General features: G+C 36.8%; 1 long non-coding RNA gene across 2 annotated transcripts, besides 1 other annotated feature; it reads left to right on the top strand.

Moving 5' to 3' along the window:
• The first annotated feature begins 1,261 nt into the window (after positions 1-1,261).
• Positions 1,262-20,058, top strand: LOC105377000 (uncharacterized). Of its 2 annotated transcripts, XR_940660.3 has the most exons (6): positions 1,262-1,417; positions 2,051-2,138; positions 4,398-4,554; positions 17,282-17,438; positions 18,045-18,215; positions 19,669-20,058. It is a non-coding gene; the product is annotated as an uncharacterized LOC105377000 (long non-coding RNA). The 2 variants fall into 2 exon arrangements; XR_940661.3 differs by lacking the exons at positions 1,262-1,417; positions 2,051-2,138; positions 4,398-4,554 and adding an exon at positions 4,806-4,889.
• Positions 4,297-4,506: an enhancer, noted in NCBI's record as "active region_19614". NCBI's record gives its function as "activates an Ori minimal core promoter by ATAC-STARR-seq in GM12878 lymphoblastoid cells {active_cell/tissue: GM12878}" and the evidence as "EXISTENCE:reporter gene assay evidence [ECO:0000049][PMID:35858748]".
• Positions 20,059-20,875: the final 817 nt, after the last annotated feature.

Consider the following 20,875-nt stretch of genomic DNA (forward strand, 5'->3'; position numbering starts at 1 on the left):
GAATAGACTAAGGAACCCAGAAATAGACCCACATAGATCTTTGACAAAGGAGCAAAGGCAATTCAATAGGGGAAGATTAACCTTTTCAACAAATGGTACTGGAACCATTGTAAAATTTATATGCAAAAAAATGAACCTAAACACAGACCTTACACCTTTGACACATATTAACCAATTGTAGTGTTAACACTAGGGGGGAAAAGTCCTGAAAACACTAGGGATAAAAAAAAAATCCAAAAACCTAACAGTGATAAATCATAGACTATCTACAAAAGAAAGAAAAACAGAATGATATCAGACTTCTCATCAGCAACACTTGATGCATAAAACAAATACGGAATACAGTCAGAATCAATGGGAAAGTTCTCTGGACAGAAAGAAAATGATACCAATAGAACTTGTATATATGGCATCGAGCTATGAGAAGTATTGCATTGTTTAGCTTTGAAGTCTATACTTGAACCCAGAGAGAAAACTAGAATTTAACCTAAGTCTGGGGATGGGTATACAGTAACATTTTAAGAAAGAGAAATGAAACCAGGGCATGCTCTGGGCAAAATGACTAGTGCATTCAGTCCTGGCTAAGCTTAATTAAGTAATGTGAGTTTGGATACCTATAATTTTCTCAGCTGCATATTTATTCTCTTTACACCAATTGTGGCAGAGCAGTTATCAAACATACTCATTGAATCTCTGTGACATACTTTACTTTCTATAGAGCCTCTGGCAGCTGTCAGAGTTTACTTTACAGAAAGCCCCCCGGTCAGTGTGATAGTTCAGAGCATGACAGCTCCTTCTGCCGTAAGACATGATTTGAATAGAAAGCTTTTGCTCAGAAACAATGTAGTTTAGCCTAGTCAGTTAATCAAAAAGCATAATGCTAGGAGAGGCAATTTCATCATGTGGAAAACTTTTGATGCATTATCTCATCTACTCGCCAAATGCAGTCTTCCAGTGAAAATCACCCCATATACTACCAGATGGAATTTTATGCAAGCACATGTAGAAGTGTGCCAGGATAGTAAAAGGAGAAATTTCAAAGCACAGCTGCCAGCTCTGCCTAACATAGGACTGGAAGAACCAAATTTATAAGCGGGTGCTTGCCAGACAGCAGACCTCTCAGTTAAGCCAATTATGTAAATGGGCCTTGAAGAATGATTTGTACCAGGAACAGTTTCAGATGAAAGCCCTGCTCTTGTAAAGCCTTATCCTGGGTCTAGACTGTTTTAATATTTTTGCTTTCTCTCCAGTTTTGATTTGATTTGATTTTCCTGACTTGTGGAGAAGCTTTCCCTCATCAAGCAACTGTGGGCATGCAGAGTAAGACCTTTGTTAAATGGATAACTTTCAGGAGGACACAGAATCAGCAGAAACAATGGAATTTTCATTACTGTGGCATATTTTTAAGGTTAAAAAGGTAAGAATTCTCAAGAATTGATTAAATAAATTTTAAAGCAAAGAATCATCATGAACAGTGTTTTGTTTTCTGGTTTACTTGAAGCCAAAACAAATCCCAGGATACGATGATCATGAAACATTCCATTGAGACTGTAAACAAATTCCCTGTTTTTGTGTCTAGAAGTTATCTTGGCACCCCAGTCATTGAAATAGACTGATCTTTATGATAGAAGAGAAATACAAATTCTAGAGAAGAGTTGGGACTAAAGAAGAAAAAAAAATGTGTGCTTAACTTCAGGAGCTCCATCTTCAGGAATGAAAGGGGAAGGCGAGCAGAAAGCTGTACAAATTTTCAGACTGTGCTTGGTGCATTGTTCTTCTCAAGTCTCTCAACGGTTCAGAGGAGGCTTCCCGTTTGCCCAGGCAGCTGCCCTTACCACAGTGTCAATCAAATCAGCTCAGCTGTAGCTCCTGTCCAAAGTTTCATTTGGAGAAAGAGCTGCTTGCCTAAAAAAAATGAGGGAGCATCACTGCCTAGACTGAGAACGACTTTAGGAACCTTAGTTCGGGGGCCACATGGTTGCTCGATTTTGTAAAAAACATTTGTTTCCAAATATGTGTAATTTTATGATTCCCTTTTCTCTTTTCCCAGGTGTTTAGCAATAAAATTCCACTGAACTACAGTTGTATTTAACTGCTCTTCTCCAGGAATACCAAAGGAAACATAAAAAATAGAATGGGTAGGTACAGCTATCAAACTACTAGAAACAATAACATAATTTATTAAGGTGCCCAATTATAAGTTAATATACAAAATCAGAAGATTTCTTACATGAAGAGTAAGAGGTTTTATATAAGCTATACAGAAATTTATGTAGGGAATTTAATGGAAGAAAATCTTCCATTCATATTGGCATCACAAAATAAAATATCCAGAAACAAACTTGACCAAAAATGTAAAGGGCCTTTTGGAAGAAAACTGTAAACTCCACTGTGGGGCCATTAAAGAAGTCTTGAATACATAGATTAAATCCCTTGGTTTGAGATAATAAAACTCTCAATATTTACCATGCTTTTGTCATTTAAATACAAATTGTGGACATTTTTACCAGGGCAACAGATGAGTTACAACCATCCTTTTATCAGTTGCACAGAATCTTATTGAATGGGTATATCCTACTTATGTCAGTTCTTAGTAGTGAATATTAGGTTGTTTCTAATTTTTCCATATTAGAAACAATGTTAAAAGAACTTGCTCTTATTTGTGTTTCTTATGTCTACACTAGTATTCAATACCTTTCTAGGAGTGGAAATTCCTGGCTCAAACAAACTGCCTTCCAAGAAGATTTACTAATATACATTCCTACTAATGCTGTTTTAGAATGCCTTTTTCTCCATATTCCTATGAACACTGAGTGTTCTCTTTTTAACACTTTTTTTCCTCAATCTACTAGACTCCTTCTAAAATATATACTTTTCAAAACGCCTGCTTACCCTTCAATATATTGTCTTTTAAAAGATTATTTGTAGGTACTGTTTATGTGTTAGGTTGGTGGAAAATTAATTGTGATTTTGCAAAAACTGCAATTACTTTTGCACCAACCTAATATTATACATGTAGACCTTGTGTTACCCATATTGCAGATATTTCCTTCGAGTTTTCTTGTTATCTTTTTTTTTATTACACTTTAAGTTTTAGGGTACATGTGCACAGTGTGCAGGTTTGTTACATATGTATACATGTGCCATGTTGCTGTGCTGCACCCATTAGCTTGTTGTTTACCTTAGGTATATCTCCTAATGCTATCCTTCCCCACTTCCCCCACCCCACAACAGGCCCTGGTGTGTGATGTTCCCCACCCTGTGTCCAAGTGTTCTCATTGTTCAATTCCCACCTATGAGTGAGAACATGCGGTGTTTGGTTTCTTGTCCTTGTGATAGTTTGCTGAGAATGATGGTTTCCAGCTTCATCCATGTCCCTACAAAGGACATGAACTCATCCTCTTTTATGACTGCATAGTATTCCATGGTGTATATGCGCCACATTTGCTTAATCCAGTCTATCATTGTTGGACATTTGGGTCGGTTCCAAGTCTTTGCTATTGTGACTAGTGCCGCAATAAACATATGTGTGCATGTGTCTTTATAGCAGCATAATTTATAATCCTTTGGGTATATACCCAGTAATGGGACGGCTGGGTCAAATGGTATTTCTAGTTCTAGATCCTTGAGGAATCGCCACACTGTCTTCCACAATGGTTGAACTGGTTTACAGTCCCACCAACAGTGTAAAAGTGTTCCTATTTCTCCACATCCTCTCCAGCGCCTGTTGTTTCCTGACTTTTTAATGATCGCCATTCTAACTGGTGTGAAATGGTATCTCATTGTGGTTTTGATTTGCATTTCTCTGATGGCCAGTGATGATGAGCACTTTTTCATGTGTCTTTTGGCTGCATAAATGTCTTCTTTTGAGATGTGTCTATTCATATCCTTTGCCCACTTTTTGATGGGGTTGTTTGTTTTTTTCTTGCAAATTTGTTTGAGTTCTTTGTAGTTTCTGGATATTAGCCCTTTGTCAGATGAGTAGATTGCAAACATTTTCTCCCATTCTGTAGGTTGCCTGTTTGAGACGGAGTCTCACTCTGGGGCCCAGGCTGGAGTGCAGTGGCGTGATCTTGGCTCACTGCAACCCCCGTCTCCTGGGTTCAAATGATTCTCCTGCCTCAGCCTCCTGGGTGGCTGGGACTACAGGCGCGTGCCACCACGCCCAGCTAATTTTTTATATTTTTAGTAGAGACAGAGTTTCACTGTGTTAGTCAGGATGGTCTCAATCTCCTGACCTTGTGATCCACCCGCCTCAGCCTCCCAAAGTGCTGGGATTACAGGCATGAGCCACCACACCTGGCCTCTTGTTATCTTTGAACATTTTCTTTTCTTTTGTTACACAGATGTTCTTCATTTTTATGTAGTCACAGTTTTTTTTTTTTCTTCTTCTTTAGGTTTCATGGCTTGTGTAAAATGTTTTACTTCTGGGTTTCATTTCTTAAAAAAGCCTTCCACATCTGCTAGGTGCTGACAAATCAAATCCTCCATCTAACTATAGCCACCATGTGGAACCTGTGGCTATGTTTATGACCCCAGCAGCTTCTGCTCCAGGTAAGCAGATCTTGGCTATGAGTCTCTGGATGTACTTGTCTCTCTAGATTTCAGGGCAGTTATTTGCCCTGCTACCTCAGCCTCTGAAGGGTCCAATTAAAGTCATGGATTTTCAGTTTGTTCAGCTTTTCTTATTGTAAGATGGGAGATAGGACTTCCAATCTTTCTATATAGCAGAGGTGAAACTAGAAGATTTTTACTGTAAATTATTTCTATTTAGGTGCTGAATGGTTTTATATAAATGCAAACAGGTCATGAGGGGTGGCATATCAGTAATTAACTTTGGATATGTAAAGTTTGAAAAAGCTTTTGGATACACTAAGGAAAGATATCAAGTAAGTGATTAAAGTGATTTAATATACATATGTGTGTGTGTGTGTGTGTCTGTGTGTATATATCTACACGTGGGTGCATGTGTGTGTGACAAAGAGTCAGGGAAGGGGTTTGGGCTGGAGATAAAATTTTCTTTTCTTGTTTTTGATGTATTTTTTTTTTAACCTGGCAAGAATGAGAATTTGAAAAAATTTCTGAGTTCACATAAGTATGGTATTTATTATCTCTGGCAGTTTCCTAACATACTCAGCTAAAGTCCTTAGCACAGCCTGTAAGAGTCTAAATGATTTGGTAGATACTATTACCCTGACCTCCACTTCTACCCTTATCCCCTTGTTCACTGAGTTTAAGTCACACTGACCTCTTTGCACTTTCATCAGTAAACAAGGTTTGCTCCTGCCCTTATAGCTTTTGCCCTTACTTTTTCCTCTGCCTGTAACAGTTTCCCTCTGCCTATAACAATTTTCCCATAACAATCTTCCTTTACTTTCTTTAGGACTCAAAAATCATCTACTCAATAATACCTTACCGAAAATCGATCCTAAAATGCAACCACCTGTCTTGACACCTCATATTCCTCTTCTCCTTAGCATGTATCACTATGTTGCATTCTCTATCTGAAATATGTTGCTTATCTCCTATTTCTTCCATGAGATTGTAAGCTCCATAGGGAAGGAAACTTTTCCTGTTTGCTTCACCATATACTCAGTTTTAGGTCTATATTATAAAGGTAAAAAGAAATAAGCAAAAGTAATTTTAATAATATACTGTATTTAACCAATTATAATGTCATTATTTCAACATGTAATCACTACAAAATTATTAATGAGATAATTTACATTAATTTTTGTGTCTTAAGTCTTCAAAGTCTGTGGTGCACTTACATTACCAGCACATCTTCATTTGGATAAGGCACATTTCAAGTGCTCAATAACACAAGTGGCTTGTATAGTAGAGGCTACTGTATTAGACAGGGCTATGTACCATGTTAGGATTGGGAAACTTCTTAGGAGAAGTGGGATATTACTGAAGGATTTTAATTGGAGTTTAGGAGTGACATGATTACTTTTGCACAAACACAAATCACTGTGGCAGTGGAGTGGAGAACGAATTGGAGGGAATGAAGAGTTTATTTTATTTAGAGAAATTAGGAGGTTAAGAGACAGATTTGCTGAAAGACAACCATAGGCACTTGAACTAGGGTGCTGGCAGTAGGGAAAGATAGAAAAGAGAAGTATCAGACATTTAGCCAGTAAATTCCAGGAGGCTTGACAATAATTGGATTCAAAATAGGCAAATCAACTTTATAAGTCAGCTAATAATTTGATCGTAATAATCATTTGTCCCTGAAAAGTCAGAGAACAGGTTTTATTGAAATATTATTTTGAAGAATGTCACCTTTATTTCCAGATATGTGGAAATTGTGGAGTTTTGGGAACATGTTGGCTATGGAGAACTTTAGTTTCTAACGGCCAAATGTAAATGGCCGCAGTTGCCAGCACATGCAGAATAAGAAGACCCCAGCTCATGTTCCCCAACACAAACAATGGTTTGGCAGCTGTTCATGAACAAAACTGCCTTTGTGGGAGCTTTGGGATCCAGATAAGAGGTCACAAAACCCTGGCAAAGCTCAAGACTGAGGAGAGGTGCTCTGAGAAGGCAGGTACATGCCCCAGTGGCAGGCTCACTGAGCATGATTCCAGCTATAGACCCAAAGCAGCCCCGTCCCCCCATGGATGTGGCTCTAGCCCTGCTTGGCTGCAGTGCTGTAACTAGCCCTATCCAGCAAAAGACCTGGGAGGAGCCATACCAATCTATGCCTCTGGTAACAGGCCTACTGGCCACAGACCGGACTGTGGACCCTGAAATGGCCCTGTGACTTGGCTTCAACCCTGCTCTACCACCAGTCTGGAGTCAGTGCTGCATTCAAAGGGATCTTGTGAAACACACATTGTCATGCCCCAGGTTATAGATCCACCAACCTTGGTCCCTACTGTGGCTCTTGAAGAGTCCCTGTGACCCAGCTCCTGTCCTGCTCTCAGTCCTGCCCACCCAAAGACCAAGTAATGTCTGTCCATGCCCCTGGTAGCAGGCCTGCTGCCCTCAGTCCCTGCTGTGGACCCTAAGTCAGTCCTGGCTATAGACCCTGAAGCAGCCCTGAGACTCAGTTCCAGCCTCCTTCTGTCATGGTTTCAGAGTAATCTTGCCTGCTTGAAGAATTGGTGGCATACATGCCCCTCATGGTAGGCCCACTGACCTTGAGCCTGACTGTAAACCTTGCTGCAGTCCTGTGAGCTGGCTCCAGCACTGCTCTACCACAGTATTGGGGGAAGTCCTTCCTGCTTAGAGACCTAAACAGGGCCCTGACAGGAGTCTGTTCTGTTAGGGACCTGGTGGAGCCACACGCTTAGCAGGTATTCTCTGGCTGCAGACCCACTGTCTGCAGACTCAATTGCACAAACAGAAGCAGCCCCATGACCAGGCTCTAGCCTTGTTCAACTGTGGTTCTGGAGGTGGTTCCATCAATCTGGGGATCTGGCAGGAATCATGCTTGCCCACACCCCTGGTAACAGGACTGTCAACTGTGGAACCAACTACAGACCAGGCCACAGCCATGTGACCTAGCTCTAGCCCCACTTGACTCTGACCCAAGAAGCAGTTCTGTCAGTCTGAGAATGAGGCAGGAGAAGGTCTTTACCTGCTGAAAGCAGTCTATAAAAACAGGAAGAGGTGTTTGCTCCTCAAGTGAGCAGATACCAATATGAAGCTATATGAATCATGAAGAACCAGGCAAACATGACACTACTGAAGGAAATTAATAAAGCTCTAGTAACCAAGTACCAAAAAGTATAGATCTATGAATTTCTTGACAACAAATTGAAAATAATTGTCTTACGGAAGCACAGTGAGCTACAAGCTCAATAGACAGCTAAATCAATATCTCAGGAAAACAGTACATGAACAAAATGAGAGGTTTAACAAAGGTTTAGAAATCATACCTCTCATTTTGTTCATGTACAGGGCCCAGAGGCAGGCCATTTGAAATTATCCAGCCACAGGAGAAAAAAGACAAAAAATAAATAAATAAATAAATAAAAAAGAATGAGAAAGGCTACAGAATTGATGAGGCACCTTCAAGCTAGTCTGCATGTACATTATGTAAGTCTCCAAAGGAAAAGTGAAAGAGAAAGGAGCAAAAAGCTTATCTAAAGAAGAAATGACTGAAAACTCCCCAAATTTGGGGAAGAAAATAAACATCCCCATTTAAGAAATTATGAACTTCATATAGGTTGAAAATAAAAAGGCCTATGCTGAAACACATCACATTATAATTAAATTGTCATAAGTCAAAAATAGAGAATTTTGAGAGCAGCAAGAACAAAATGACATGGCAGAAACCATGCTTGCCCATACTCCTGGTAACAGGACTGCAGACTGTGGAACCAACTGCAGACCAGGCCATAGCCATGTGACCCACTTCTAGCCCCACTTGACTATGATCCAAGAGGCAGTCCCATTAGTCTGAGAATGAGGCAAGAGAAGGTCTTTACCTGCTGAAAGCAGTCCATAAAAATAAGAAGAGGTTTTATACACATAAATAGAAACTTCTATAGGACTATCAGCAGATCTCTCAGCAAAAACCTCGCAGGCCAGGAGAAAGTGGGATAGATAACATATTGAAAATACTGAAAAAAAAAACAAACCCTGCTAATCAAGAATACTATACTCAGCAAAACTATCCTTTCAAAATGAAGGAGAAAGTCGTTTACAGACAAAGAAAAACTGAGGGAGTTCATCACCATCAGAACTGCCTTACAAGAAATGCTCAGGGGGTTCTTCAAATTGAAATAAAAACATACTAAAGAGCAATGTGAAAGCATAAATGTGACTAGTAAAGGTTAATATATATACAAATACAGAACAATGCAACAATGTAATGGTGGAACATAAATTACTTTTAACATAAACATAAAAGTTACAAGACAAAAATACTAGGAATAACTGTGGCCACAAAAATTTGTTAATGGATACACGCTATATAAAGAGTCAAACTGACTTTAAGAACACCAAAAGTGTGGAGTAAAAATGTAAAGCCTTTTTTTTTTTTTTTTGAGACCGAGTCTCGCTCTGTCGCCCAGGCTGGAGTGCAGTGGCACGAACTTGGCTCACTGCAAGCTCCGCCTTCCGGGTTCACGCCATTCTCCTGCCTCAGCCTCCCTAGCTGGGACTACAGGCGCCTGCCACCATGCCCGGCTAATTTTTTATATTTTTTAGTAGAGACGGGATTTCACTGTGTTAGCCAGGATGGTCTTGATCTCCTGACCTCGTGATCCACCCGCCTCGGCCTCCCAAAAGTGCTGGAATTACAGGCGTGAGCCACTGCGCCCTGCCAAAAATGTAAAGCCTTTGTATGCAATTCAAGTTAAATTACCAACTTAAGATAAAAAGTCATAATTACAAGATACTTTATACAAGTCTCAAGGTAGCCACAAAAACCCTGATATGTATCTATATATATATCTGATATATATATACCTGATATCTATCCATCTATCCATATCTGATATATATATATATACCTGATATATACCTATCTATATATAGATATATATCAGGGTTTTTGTGGCTACCATGAGACTTGTATAAAGTATCTTGTAATTATTACTTTTTATCTTAAGTTGGTAATTTAACTTGTATTGCATACAAAGGCTTTACATATATGTAAATATATATGATATATATATAGATATCTATATGATATATATATAATACAGAGACAAGAATCAAAGAAATTACTACAGATAGTCATCAACTAACAACAAAAGACAATGAGAGAGGAAGACAGGAACAAAACAATAGCAAAGGTGACAGAAAACAACAAAATGTCCATAGTAAGTCCTCATCTGTCAATAATTATCTTAAAGGTGAATGAATTAAATTCCCCAATCAAAAGACATAAAGTGTCCAAGTGGATAAAGAAAAAAGAGCTAGTAATATGCTTTCCATAAGAGACTCACTTCAGCTTAAAGGACAGACACAGGCTGAAAGTTAGGGAACAGAAAAGATAATCCATACAAATGATAATCAAAAGAAAGCAGAAGTGGTTACACTTATATCAGAAAAAATAGACTTTAACTCAAAAACTGTCACAAATAATGTAATCATGTAATGATAAAGAGGCAATTCAACAGGAAAACATAAATATTGTAAATATACATGCACTTAATATTAGAGCACCTAAATACATAAAGCAAATATTGGCAGATCTGAAGGCAGAAATTGACATCAATACAATAATAGTAGAAGAATTCAGTATCCCTCTCTCAGTAAATGGATAGAACACCAGACAGAATTAACAAAGAAATTGCTGACTTGAGTAATACTATAGACCAAATAGACCCGAGAAACATACAGAACTTTCTACTCGACAGCATACATATACACATTCTTCTCAAGCACACAAGGAACATTCTCCATGATAGATTGCATGTTAGATTACGAAGTAAGTCTTAACAAATTTAAGAAGATTGAAATCATACCAGGTATTTTTCTGACTACAATGGAATGAAACTACAAATTAATAACAGTAAGAAAATGAAAAATTCACAAATATATGGAAATTAAGTAATACACATTGAGTCAAAGAGGAAAACAAAAATAAATTTTTTAAAAATTCAAGAAAAATGAAAACACAATATACCAAAACTTATGAGATGTAGTAAAGGCAGTACCAAGAGGGAAGTTTATAAACATAAAAGTTTATAAGAAATATTTTAAATAAACAAATGAATAAAGAAGGAATAGAAAGTCTGAACAGACCAGTAACAAATAAAGAGATTGAATTAGTAATCAAAAACCCTCCATAAAATAAAAGCCCAGGACCAGGTGGCTTCATGAGTGAATTCTACCAAACATTCAAAGAAGAATTAATGCTAATCCATTCTAAGCCCTTTCAAATAATAGAAAAAGGAGAAATGGTTCTAAATTCACTCATGAGGTCAGCATTATCTTGATACCAAAGCCAGACAAAGACACCACAAGAAAACTACAAGTCAATATCCCTCATGAATACAGACACCAAAATCTTCAATAAAATACTAGCAAACTGAAAACAACAGCACATTAAAAGGATCATGCATCATGATCAGGTGGGATTTATTCCTAAGATGAAAGGATAGTTCAATATACACAAACCAATTGATGTGGTATACCACTTTAACAAAATAAAGGACAAAAATCTTATGATCATCTCAGTCTATGTAGAAAAAACTTTTGACAAAATTTAACATTCATTCACTATAAAAATCTCTCAATAAAATAGATATAGAAGGGACTTGTTTCACCACAATAAAGACCAAATATGAAGAAAACCACAGCTAACATTATACTCAATGTTCAAAATTGAAAGCTTTTCCTCTAAGATCAGAAATAAGACAAGGATGCCCATTCTCTCCACTTCTATTTATCATAGTACTGGAAGTTCTAGCTAGGGTAATTTGACAAGGAAAAAAAATAAAAGTAATACAAATTCTAAAGGAAGTAGTTAAATTGCCTCTGTTTGAAGATGACATGATCTGACATATAGAAAACCATAAAGACTCCACCAAAAAACTGTCAGAACTGATAAACAAATTTAGTAAAGTTGCAGGATGCACAACAGACATACGAAAATCAGTTATGTTTCTATACACAAATAACAAACTATCCAAAAAGGTAATCTAGAAAACAATTCCATTTATCATAGCATAAAAAATACTTAGAAATAAAATTAACCAAGGAAGCGAAAGATCTGTATCCTAAATCTATAAAATATTGATGGAAATAATTGAAGAAGCCACAAATAAATGACAAGATATTCCATGTTCATGGATCAGAAAAATTAATATTGTCAAAATGTCCATACCACCTAAAATGATTTATAGATTCAGTGCAATCCCTATCAAAATTCCAACGCCATTCTTTAACAGAAATAGAAAAAATAGTGCTTAAATTCATATAGGACCACAAAAGACACTGAAGAGCTAAAGCAATCTTGAGAAAGAAGAACAAAGCTGGAGGCATTACACTTTCTGATTTCAAGTAATATTACAAAGATTACAGTAATTAAAGCAGTATGATAGTGCCATAAAACAGACACATAGACCAATGGAAAGCATAGAGGGCCCAGAAATAAACCCACACTTGTATAGTCAATTAATCTTCAACAAAGGTGCCAAGAATACACAGTGATGAATGGATATTCTCTCCAATAAATAATGTTAGAGTAACTGAATATCCACATGCAAAGGAATGAAATTGGGCCCTTATATTACACCATGCACAAAAATCTACTCAAAATGGATTACAGACATAAGACCTGAAACTATAAAACTACCAGAAGAAAACATAGAGGAAAAGTTCCTTGACATTGGCCTTGGTAATGATTTTTTTGCCAAAAGTACAGGCAACACATGGACTACATCATACAAAAAAGCTTCTGTATGGTAAAAGAAACAACCAACAAAATGAAAAGACAACCTATAGAATGGGCAAAAATATTTGCAAATCATATATCCTATAAAGGATTATTATCTAAAATATATAAGGGACCTCAATAGCAAAAACACAAATAACCTAATTAAACCATTGGCAAAAAAACTGAATAGATATTTTCCCACGGAAGAAATATAAATGGCCAACAGGTATATAAAAAGATACACAACATCACTAATCATCAGAGAAATACAAATAAACACCACAGTGAGATATAACCTCACAGTTGCGATGATTATTATCAACAAGTTGAAAGGTAACCAGTGTTGGCAAGGCTGTGGAGAAAAGGGAACCTTTGTACATAGTTGGAGGTACAGCCATTGTGGAAAATGGTATGGATGTACTTCGAAAATTAAAAATAAAACTACCATACAATCCATCAATCCCACTGCTGGGTATATATCCAAAGAAAATAAAATTATTGTCTCAAAGAGATATCTGCACTCCCACATTCATGCAGCATTTATTCAAGATATGGAAACCAATGTAAGTGTCCACTGACGAATGAATGTGCAAAGGAAATGCGACACACACAGGAATATTATTGAGCCTTACAGAAGAAGAAAATCCTGCCATTTGTGATAACATAAATGAACCCAGGAGACATTATGCTATGGGAAATAGGGCAGGAACAGAAAGATATACACATGTGATCTCACTTATATGTAAAACATAGATATGGAGAGTAGAAGACTGAAGTGTAGGAGAAATGGGGAGATATTAGTCAAAGGGGATAAAATTTCAGTTGTAAGATTAATGAGTTCTGGAGATCTAAAGTACAGCATGGTTAATAATTATGTATCACATACTTAAAATTTGTCTAGAGAGTAGATCTTAAGTGTTCTTGCCATGCACACTCATACACACAAAATGGTTACTATGTGAGGTAATGGGTATGTTAATTAGATTGATTATGACAATCATTTCACAATGTATACATATATCAAAACATCACAATGTATACCTTAAATATATACAATATTTATTTGTAAATCGTACTTCAACAATTCTGGAAAAAATAAAATAAAACAAATCTAAATGGCCACATGATGGTGCCAAAACCTTGGTTAGTTAATATGTCTTTTCTGTGGCGCTTGCACATTCCCTTTTCTACAGAAATGTTTCTACCTTGTCTTAGTTATTTTACTTAAAGAAGGAATCAATTAAGCATAAATGAATTTGTGTGTATGTTTGCACAGTAACCGTCTATTTCTAACAATGTTCTTAAGTCAACTGGTAGCCCTTACTTCACTCTCATTATTTTATACTTTTACTTGTAAAATTGGAGTTTTGTAAACCCAGTGTAGCACATTCTCGGAATGGTGCAGAAGGGGGATACAATTCTATATTAATTTATCTAGGAATGAGACCAGTAGGACTTCAATATAATAGCATTCTCTTTTTGGGAGGCATGAAGAAATTTTTCTATAGCACTTTTGGAAAATATACCAAGCTTCAATAAGAGATATTTATAAAGCAGGTGAACCAGACACCCAGATATGACATTTAACATGACTAGGTAGAGGTAGTTCTGTACCCTATGTATTCTTAATTAATCCTACGTATCCCAGGATCCTTAACTAATCCTGAAGGTATGGATTAATGAAAATCCAAACCACATGGTCAGATTTGCTCATCTTTTTCCCCAAATTATCTTGCCAGTTATTGAATATACACCATGGAGTGGAGAAATTAGTAAATATTAGAGATGTAATTTTTAGCACCTCTTGGAGACTAAAGTAAGGATCATTTACTCACTTAACAAACATTCTCCGAGTGTTTACTATAGGATAAGGACTATGAATTTAAGATTGGCAAATTACTTTTAATGCCATAAACTACCACCTTCTAGAACTGTATATGCCATAAGTACTCAAAGTGACAAGGATCACCAAACATAAAAACTTAAGTGCTATCAGGGTCTAGAATCATAAGTCTCACCCAGTCTTAAGAAGCCTCTACCATGTGTTGGTTCTGCAAGGTGCCAGAAAACAGCAAAATCTGGAAACATGTGTGCCATTACATTGTTATTAAGTGCCATGAAATATCAAGATATGACTAGTGCCACTGACATCTAGAACAAGCTCTTCTAGTTTCTACACCAGATGTCAGCAAACTATATCTTGCAGGCATAATATCTTCTTTTTAAAATGAAGGTTTGGCCAGGCATGGTGGATCATGATTGTAATCCCAGCACTTTGGAAGCCTGAGGGGGGAGGGTCACTTGAGGCCAGAAGTTTGACACTAGCCTGGATAGACAACATGGGGACACCCCATCTCTACAAAAATTAAAAAATTAGCCAGGCATTGTGGTGCATGCCAGTAGTCCCGGCAACTCAGGAGGCTGAGGCAGGAGAATCACTTAAGCCTGGGAGGTTGAGGCTGCAAGCCATGATTGTGCCATTGCACTTCATAAGCCTGGGTGGCAAAGTGAGACTTCACCTAGAAAAAAAAAAGTTTTATTGGAACACAACTAGGACCTTTTCATTTACACATTGTCTATAGCAGAGTTAAGTAATTGCAACAGAGATCTTTTGCCTGCAAAGCCTGAAATCTTTCCTATCTAGCTCTTTTAAAAAAAGTTTGCTGACACATGCTGTAGATTCTCAAATGCCACCCATCTATAAACACGTGTCATTAATTCTTAGAACCAGATTTGCTTCACATGGTTTAAATCAAAACTATTACTGTGCAACCAACACCCAGAACACAACTGCTTCAATAAGCAGACAAGCAAAAAACCATCTTGGGAGCAGTAATTAAGCACTAGCAAAAGCTCCTAAGAAAGTGTGTAGACTATATCTTTGTGTTTCATTCAGAATAAGATGATAGAATATAGATTATAGGTTTCTCACATTAAAATTTCCATGTTAATTCTCAATTAAATTCTCATGTTAATTGTTACTGACCATAATTTTGACTTTTCTTAGGAATACTGTTTTTGAACGAGAAGAAACAAAGAGAAGGAAGCAATATTTTTTACATATATGAATTCTTCTTGGATATTAGTTCTCAGTTTCAGGAGTGCTGATTTCATTAACCTTGAAATATTGGAGTTTGTATAAAAGGTTATGAATATAAATGAACTCAGTGTTAAAACCTGTCAACATCTACTTTAAATAGCAATGTAAACGCTGTTAGAAATAAAAGGCTGTTGTGGCAAGCTTTGTGACTAGGTTGATGCGAGTGCTAGAAGGCACAAAGATTATGCCATATAATGCTATTCTGTTACTTGCTTAATTTTAAAAATGTGAAGGGAAAAGTTTTATGTCTGGCTTTGTGTAGCAGGTTAGAGCTGGACCATTGGGGTTCTCAGATACAGAAGGAACAGATTGGCTGGTATCTAAGACTTAGAAGTCAGTCTGAAAACAACATGTTCTTGAGAGTAAGCAAGAAATCAAAACAATTCATATATTAAATGTTCCACAAGATCCTTGGCTACCATCAAAGATAAACAACAAAAGACATGAACTGGAATGCAAATGCTATTCAACCGATTGTGTGACACTGGGCAAGATACTTAGCTAATCTAAATCCTGGTTGTTCATGAATAAACTGAAGCTCATCATCATCATCATTACCTTCATTATCACCACTATCATCATCATTATCATCATCATGATATAACCTTCACTAGTATTTGGAAGTTGTTTATTATAGGTCACCCTTAACATAGATCATCTCTTTTAATCCTAACATAAAACACGTATTATTGTCCTTATTTGACAGATGAGGAAATCAAAGCTTAAGGTAGAAGTAACATTCCGAAGGTAACACAGGAGTCAATGACAGAGTTGGGCTGCTCCATGACCCAGTCTTTTAAACCCGTGCTAATGAAAATCCTTTTCTGGTATATCCATATATTACTGGTGGGTTTTTATAAACAAAATATTTTATTTTCTCCAGTGTATTTTTTCTGCATATTCCAAATTTTCTCCAATAATGTATGCTATTATTTTCTCTTTTTTCAATTTTTATTGAATGTAAAATAATGTAAAAATTAATATAAATAAAATTAATAAAAAATTAATAAAAATTAATAATGTAAAATTATTTACATTATTTTCTCTTTTTTCAATTTTTATTTACTTGACATATAATAATTGTACATATATATGGGGTAGATAGTGAGTTCCAATACATACCAGATATAGCAATAAAATCAGGGTAACTAGCATAATCACTCCAAACATCAAACTTTTTTTTTAATGTTGAGAACATTCAAAATCCTTTCTTTTAGCTATTTGAAAATATACAATAATTTATTGTTAACTCTAGTCAACCTATAGTGCTATAGAATAGTAGATCTTTCTCCTTGTATCAAGCTCATTACTGGTGGCTGGGCTTTCATGTAATTTTTTTGAAAGAAGTTTCTAAAGCATATCAAGAATCTAAAAGTGTTACTGTCCTTTTATCAGGTAATCTCACTTCTGGGAATATTGTTAGGAAATACTCATGTAAAAGTAAAGTAAAAAAGGACATTCATTGCAGTATTACTTATGGTAAACAACTGGAAACTTCTTAAATGTCAAACAAATGAGAAAAGATTAAGTAACTAATGATATATTACATAGTATCTTAAATATTCACCATGATGCCTATTTAGTAATAAAGTATAATGCATGGATCAGTTATATGAAAAACTGGAATATATAATTATATTCACATTATGATGCCAATTCTGTAGAATTTTGCATGTATATGAAAAAGGCATGTAGGAATATAAAGAAAATATCAAATATTGTTTCTTGAGGTGGTGATATTTCCAGTGAACTTCTCTTCTATTATTGTTATTGTAATCTGTACAAGTAATGAACAAATTTGAAATACAACATATATACCTGCTCTATGTACCTCACAGGATAATTGTGAAGATCAGCCAAAAAGATGAGTAAATGATATAAAGTTGACAAACTGTAAGACAATTGAAATACCATAAAAAACACCAGGCTGGTCTGGCTAGAAGAAGAAATCTTGTATTCAGACTGAACAAAACCCTAGGATCCCAGGACAAGCAGGTTTGGCTCCTCCTCTCATCCACCCTCACGATCTGGGCCAGAGATTGGCAAACTATGGCCCATGGGCAAAATCCTGTCCATACTCAGTTTTCGTATGATCTATGAGCTAGAAATACTTTTTAGATTTATAGTGGTTCAAAGAAAAAAAAATCAGAGAATGTTATTTCATGACCCATGAAAATGATATGAAATTCAATTTTCAGTGTACATAAATGAAGTTTTTTTTGGAACAGAGTAGCACCCATTTACTTACATATTATCCATGGATGCTTTATGCAATGGCAGCAAAGTTGAGTGGTTGCTATGAGACCAATTGCCCACAAAGCTTAAAATGCTTGCTATCCTGGCCCTTTACTAAAACAATTTTCTGACCCTTAACCTAGGCCAGCTTCAGTTCTTCACATCTTGTCTTGGCCTTATGAGAACTTTATTCTAGAGAATTTTTTTCCCAGTTGCACTTACATGGTTAGAAATACTGCCTTTTCCTAGTATTTAGCCTTTAAAAAATGTTTTCAAAACATTAGGGGTTGGAGCCATTGAACGGCTCCAACACCAACCAGGTTTACATTGCAATGTTTGCTAACACACAAATACATGTTCTGGTAGGTGCTCAGTGGGAGATACAGGACCTTCTTGGGCATCAAGAGATTTAATCTTTGATCTGTTCAAAGTTTGACCCGTCTGGGCCTCTGTTTCCTCATTTATAATAATGAAGAAAACTGGATGATTTCTGAGGCCCCATTCTACGTTTCTACAATGGCTTGTGTTATTTTAAAGGTTGGTGGTTCTTCATGGTGATTATACGGGCGCTTTTGCTTCTTTGATGATCTCCCTGTCTCTGGGACAATTAACCAATCATGTTTAAGGTAAGAGATAAAAAGTTAAATGCTGCAGGGACTAGACAGGTAAAATAAACGAGGGAACCCACCTGAGTTAATAGAGTCTGTGGTAAGCATTGTGGCATGCTGCAGAGTACAGCAGGTCCTGGAATAACATTGTTTCTCTTCAGTACCATTTCATTATAATGCTGATGAGAAAAAAAAATTGATCCTAGGCTGGGGCCATTGTCTTCATTTGCACATTCTCCTCATGTCTGTATGGATTTTCTTCAGATACCCTGGTTTCCTCCCACATCCCAAAGATGTTAGGTTCATTGGCATGTCTGAATTGTCCCAGTTTGAGTGAGTGTGGATGTGTGTGGGAGTGTGTCCTGTGATGGAATGGCATCCTGTCTAAGGTGGGTTTGTTACCGGACCAAACCAAGGGTCAGGCTGCTATTTCATGAAGCCCAATAATGAGACACAGATTAACTGGGGAGGAAGAGAGTTTTTATTTATGTAACTGGTTACAGGGAGAAGGCCTGGAAATTGTTGCCAGACCAATGCAAAATTACAAAGTTTTCCAGAGCTTATATACCTTCCAAGCTATATGTCTACGTGTAAGTGTGCATTCATCTAAAGACATAAATGATAAACTTCTTTTAATCTATAACTAGGGTCTGAGTCCTGAAGACCTTCTTCTGAAGCCAAAGTAAATTTTCTTAATCTAAATGGGTCCAGGTGTGGCAGTGATGACCCTTATCTGGTCTCCCGCTAAATCACAGAGGTTTGGGGAGTTCCTTTAGATCCAATAAACTTGTTTATGGAGGCTTGGGGAGTTTGTTCAGACCCCCAGTAAAACTTGTTTAATCCTAAATGGGTCATGTTAATTCCTTCATTATTTTGTCATGCTTTAAGGCCCAGGAAAGGCCTAGACAAAACTTTTGGCGGGCTTTTGTTACATTCCAGCCTTTGTGTAAGGGCACTGGCTCAATCAGCTTTTAATGTTTAACCTCCCTACTCAGTCAGTGCTGGCACAGTTGTAACGGAGGCCTGCGTTAGTGAGACCCGGCCTGCCGCAGGTTCCCACTTTGTGACCCAGCTGCTAGGATACGCTATGGTCACCCATGACCCTGAACTGGAATAATTGGGTAAATAGTTATCTAATTTGTTTTTATTGCTTTTTCTCATTTGAATGTATACCTCACATTTATTTCAATGTTTAATATTAGAAGTATTTTGGCCTTTATTTAGATGTCTGATGATGTTTTTGTGACCAGAAATATGCCATAGGAACTTAACTCTTGTTTATGTCAATTAGCCTATTATAAAATTGGTTTTCTCATATAACCACTGAACCAGTTTTAACTGGCCCTACTCTATTGAAAACAGGATATTAAATTATTTTACAGGCACAGAGTGAAGAAATTACGAGTCATACAGCTGAAGTATGCACAGAAAAGATTTCAACCTCAAATAAAATCTGGAACTGAAGTTTCACTCCCCTCATGGAACAAATGTATCAAGACTTGGTCAGAACTGAAGGCCAGAACACTTTCAAAAGTGAAGGGGTACAAGCTCAGGAATGTTAGGTGTTAAGATCCCTTACCATACTTTACCATATATGGTCTTGTTTAAAGTTCTTCCAATCAAGACCTACCCACCAGCACTTCTGCATACCAGCCTGCTCTCTCTAACCCAGAAAACTTGCCCCAGACTCCAGAATGGGGAGATGGAATTGAGCTTTGTCTCCTGCCTCCTCGCCGCCAACCCCACAATAAAACCTTTTTTTTTCTTAAAAACTGGTGTCATAGTATTTGCGTCTATGTTAACCAGGAAGCGAGCCCATTGCTCAGTAACAGTTACACATCATGTCATTTAAAGCTTCAGTTTTCAAGAACTTATCGGTGATATTAAGTGATACTTACTGCACTTGGCCCATCTGAAGGGAGCAGCTGTAACTCAGCTGCAGCTGACTATTAATTTATGTTGCTAGATCTTTCACATTTTCAGAAGATGGATTTTATGTGAAATCTAATATATAAATGCAGGCAACTAATTCAAATTTTAAAAAATACTATGTAGCCCGTCTTCCCCAATTCCAGAATGCAGAATGGGCCTCTGAGTTACCATTTTAAGAACTCTTCCTCTACGTGTACGGTAATTTTTACGTAACTTTCCAATGGGGATGGACAACAAAGTTTCAAGGAACCCTTGGCCATCTGAAAATCCTATCTTCAGAGTATGACACTAAGCTGAGGTGGCAGAATATGTGTTTCCAAATGAACCTGGGTCTTGTGTTCACTTAGAACTTGCAAGATTTAAAAAAGCTTTTGGTATTATGACTGATTTTTAGGAATAGTATTTCTAAAACTTTATAAACAAGTAATACCCCCCACATTCACTTAGAAGCTGATCTTTTCTGTTTGGCTTCATGTTGTTAGCTAGAACAGATCATTTAGCTCAACTAGAATGGGAGTAAAGAACCTGGTCTTGCCATGTAAATTACTTCTGAACACACTATCCTTTCCTTTCTTCTTTTTTCTGGGTTAGGGGGATGTGATATATTTGTTTATTCTATGGATATTTATCAAGTGCCTACTAAGTGTAGGAATTGCT

This window comes from Homo sapiens, chromosome 3 (assembly GCF_000001405.40).
Source record: "Homo sapiens chromosome 3, GRCh38.p14 Primary Assembly".
NCBI lineage: Eukaryota > Metazoa > Chordata > Mammalia > Primates > Hominidae > Homo > Homo sapiens.